The 4,432-nt window shown below is 50.8% G+C and overlaps 1 annotated feature.

Moving 5' to 3' along the window:
* Positions 532-1,265: an enhancer, noted in NCBI's record as "NANOG-H3K27ac-H3K4me1 hESC enhancer chr6:160251537-160252270 (GRCh37/hg19 assembly coordinates)". NCBI's record gives its function as "activates a minimal SCP1, AML or CMV promoter by ChIP-STARR-seq in primed H9 embryonic stem cells {active_cell/tissue: H9 hESC(primed)}" and the evidence as "EXISTENCE:reporter gene assay evidence [ECO:0000049][PMID:30033119]".

Raw genomic sequence — 4,432 nt, forward strand, 5'->3', positions numbered from 1 at the left:
AGGGAATGCTTTGCCATGCTTTAAGACCCATGTGATTAGGCGGACCCTCCTCCTCGGATGACCCTGGATAAACTCCCCATCTCAAAGCCCTTAATTATGTCTGTAGAGTCCCTCTTGCCACATCAGGTGCTATACTCACAGGTTCTGGGGTTAGGCTGTGGGCACTGGGCATCTTTGGGGAGCCATTATTCTGCCTGCCACATTCTCCAGCGACACACTGATGAAGCACCTGCCCAGGTAAGTGCTATTCCTACCTCATACTCCCCAGTGAGTGGGGTTAGCCCTGCGCAGTGAGTGGGGTTAGCCCTGCCCAGGAAGCAGGGTCTGATGCGGCTGAGCTGGTTACAGGCCTTGCAGACTGCGTGGCCACCACGGTGACCCAGCACCCACCATCCACCCAGTCTCCTGCGTCGCTGTTCTGGAAGCTCTGCCGCGGTGCTGGATGGCTTCACCCGATTTCAGCATTCGGAAGCTCCCCTAGAGGTCCCTCATTCTGCCCCATCCCTGCCCCAGCTCTTGCTATTGTTTGCCTTTATCCCTTTTTCCTACAGGAAGAACCAGATTCAAACATTTGCCTGCTGGCAATAGTGTTTCTGAGGAAGACACTGTGAGGGGAACTGCGGGCCGAGCCTGCTCTGAGCGCAAGATAGTAGGAGAGCTCTCTGGCACACAGCTGCCTACTCTGTCCCTACTCTCCCCTGGGAGAGAATCCCTGGTGTAGACTTAGTCCTAATCCTCAGAAGAGCTCCCCCAGTGTGTGATGTGGCTCTGCCAAAGATCGTGAGAAAGTGGAGATCCAAAAACAAGTATTCTCTGGGCAGCACAAGCCAGATAAAGTTGTTCTCAAGTTGGCTCTGGCTGGGTTTGTGGAGGGCACAGAGGCTTTGACATGTGAGCTTGTAAAGATGCTTTCTTTCCCATCCCAGGGAGCTGCCCAAACCTTCCTCGCTGCTGAGGCCGTGTCCTCAGCCCAGTGGAGCAGCAGCAGTGGCCACTGCCTGCGTGACCCTGCTGAGACCTGTGCTCGTAGTCAGATGGGATGTTCTGAACTCCTGGAAGCCAGAGGTTATAGTTTTTTAAAGACTAAAAAAGGAATATTGTATTGTGTAAAACAGAAAAGGAAGGGAAGCACTCATTCTCCCATTCCCTTATTGATCAATTTGGGCTTGTTCCTGTCTCTAAAATCTGCATGTGTTTTATACTGGAAGACCCTGGAGCGCAGGCTTTCATTCCATGCAAATGTACCTGCTCTGTACCAGGCACTGTTCCAGATGCCCCGGCTGCAGCCATTAAAGCAAAGATTCAGGAATTTGCATTTGTGTGGAGTCATTAGACAAGCAACGAGATGAGAGTGCCTGTGAGGTGATCAAGTGCTGGTTACAGAGAAACTTGGAGGAGAAGTCGGGTGCTGCCTTCCAGTGCTCAGGCAGGGTGCGCAGAGAAGGGGATGCCTGAGCAGAGACCTGGCAGAGATCAGGGCTGAGACACCTGCCCGGCTGTGGACAGAGCTCCAGGTGCTGTCTGGCCCAGGGCCCAGTGGAAGCACCTGGCCCTGCAAAGAGGCTCCAGCCACCAGGATGGCTGAGAGAACTTGGGTGGGTGAGGCAGGAGCCAAGGCCAGGGAAGAAGTGGAGGGCCGGTCAGGTGGGGCACAGAAGGCACTGGTGATTGCTTTGACTTCTCAGCAGAGGTGTGAGCCATTGAGGGGCTGCCAGCTCAGGGTGATAAGGTCTGGCTGACTAGGGAAGGAGGAAGGCAAAAGAGGTGGCTGTGGCCCAGTGGGGAGGTGTGCAGGGGCTCTAGATCTGGGTGTATTTTGACAGTGGAGCTGCTATGATGTCCTGACAGAGTGAATGTGGAGTTAAGAGAAAGAGGGGTCAAGAATGATAAAGTTTTGGCCTGAGCCAAGGTGTGGAGTTGAGGTAGAAGGTGGGACTTGACTCCGGAGGCAGGGCTCAGACACCGGGCCAAACTGAGGACTAGCTAAAACAGGTTATAGGGGAAGCAGTTTTCCAGAAAACACACCCATCAGTGTGCCATGTCAGTTTACCATTGCCATGGCGACACCCAAAAATTATTGCGCCTTTCCATGGCAATGACCCAGTGATCAGGAAGTTACCACCCTCATCCTAGAAATTTCTGCATAAACCACCCCCTAATTCATGTATAATTAAAAGTGGGTGTAAATATTAGTGCAGCCCTAAATCTGAGCTGCTCCTCTGGACACACTTCCTGGAGAGTGCCCTGTACCGCAAGGAGCAGTGCCTCTGCTGCTCCTGGATGCTGTGGCTTCAATACAAGTTGCTGTTGAACACCACTGGGTAGCTCTTGAATTCTTTCCTGGGGGAAGCCAAGAACCCTTCCGGGCTAAGTCCCAATTTTGGGCTTCACCTGTCATGCATCAGAGTTGCCATCTGGTTGTATCTAAATTGTTTTATCTCTGTGCCTGTGAATGACACAATGCTGTTGTTTCTCCTTTATTGGGGATTAGGGAAAGCAGAAAGGTGGAAGAAGGAGATGAGAGCCTCATCCAGAGCTGCAGGGCCAGGCTGAGGGCCAGGGTGCCTGGGTTCCCTAACAATGCACACCCCTCCCTTTAAATTTCCTATTTTGTGGGCACAATGGTTCACACCTGTAATCCCAACACTTTGGGAGGCTGAGGCAGGAGGATTGCTTGAGCCCAGGAGTTCGAGATCAGCCTGGGCAACATAAGGAGACTCCATGTCTAAAAATATAATAATAGTAATTTTCTTATTTTGTGTGTTTTATCATATATGCAATATATTAGTACATGGAATACATGTATGTACATTATTAATACATGTGCACAGCCAGGGTTTGTCCTCAGCTTTGTTTCAGTGATAAGGAAATAGGATTGAAATAGTTTGGAGACCGTTTGCTCTAGTAATTTCCCTGGGTTCAACGTCAACATGAGGAGTTTGACAGGGATTTATGAGAAGCCTTGGAGGCTGGTCCATGGTTAGCCACACCCAGACCTGTAGGCACAATGTCTTCAAGATCTGATGAAGTCTGACGCTACCTCCTGAAAGGGACACCCTCAATCCTGGCCGTCTTCCCTTCAGCTATTTTTTGGGTGGAGCAGAAAAGAGGTTTAACTGGCGGGTGAAATTGCACATACTTCACAGGTGGTGTCTCTCTTCTTTGGCTGGCAGTAAGGGAAGGAAGGCCCTCTGCAGCATAAAGCACACTCATCATGCCTAATCAGCGCAAGCAGGCAGGAAACAAGTGGAGCCTATCAGAAGGCAGAGTTGGACACTCCTAGCATGAAAAAAGCATTCAAAGTATTTATTCACTTATTTTATTAGAGACAGGGTCTCAATCTGTTGCCCAGGCTGGAGTGCAGGGGCATGATCATAGCTCACTGCAGTCTTCAACTCCTGGGCTCAAGTGATCTCCCTGCCTCAGCCTCCTTAGTAGTTGGGACTACTGGCACCCACCACTGCTCCCTATTAATTTTGAAAAAAATTTAGAAATGGAATCTTGCCATGTTGCCCAGGCTAGTCTCAAACTCCTGGCCTCAAACAGTCCTCCTGCCTCAGCCTGCCAAGGAGCTGGGATTATGGGCTCAAGTCATCATGCCCAGCCAAAGTACTTATATTTAATATAAGATTTCAATCAGTTCTATCTGAGGACCTAATTGGAGAGGGCCCTGGCACTTAGGAAGTCCAGCTCTATAAAAATTGGAGCTGCAATTCTCCAGCGGTTAGTCAGAGTCCAAGCTTCCACGATCCTGCTCACCAGATTTCTACCATGGGAAGCACATTCTGAAATTTGCCTCACTGCTTGTTCTAGTGGCCAGTCTGAGAACCTCCACAAAGCTTCACTCTAGAGATTTAAAGGGTTATAAATACAGCCAAAATGAATTCACAAACCATGAGCTCAAATGTGCACATGTAAGTTCCTTTAACTCAATTTAATTCCTTGCTGCAAGCTCCCATTCTGCCCAAGCAGAACCCATAATTTAGGCAATACCAGATAAACGCTGCCCATTCAGGGCTGTTTCCCTTTGGTGTCCACCCTCCTCCCTACCCTAAGACAGAGGCTAAGCTCTGAGAGGCAGATGCAAAGGGCATGAAGTTGGGGGAGAGCGGTGGGGGGTCAGTTTGGACTTCTCTCTGTCCTGATTCTAAGCCAGTAGCCTTTGAGGTGTGACTTACCTGGGTGGCCTTCATATGCTCCCACCTGTACATGGGCTGGGAGGCAGGGGCTTCCTCTGGGATCTCTGTGGCGATGGGCCACCCAATCTCTGCCACTGGCTGCCCTTATCTCAGCTGAAAGGCCCCCAAAGGTGCTTCAGATCCCTCATATTCTCTCTTCTTCCCCTCCTCCCCACTGCCGCCCCCCACCCCTCCCTCACCCCCCACCATTTCCTGTGGCAGGTGGAAGGGCTGTCTGGCTTCCTGCACACCCC

This window comes from Homo sapiens, chromosome 6 (genome assembly GCF_000001405.40).
Source record: "Homo sapiens chromosome 6, GRCh38.p14 Primary Assembly".
In the NCBI taxonomy this organism is placed as follows: Eukaryota; Metazoa; Chordata; class Mammalia; order Primates; family Hominidae; genus Homo; species Homo sapiens.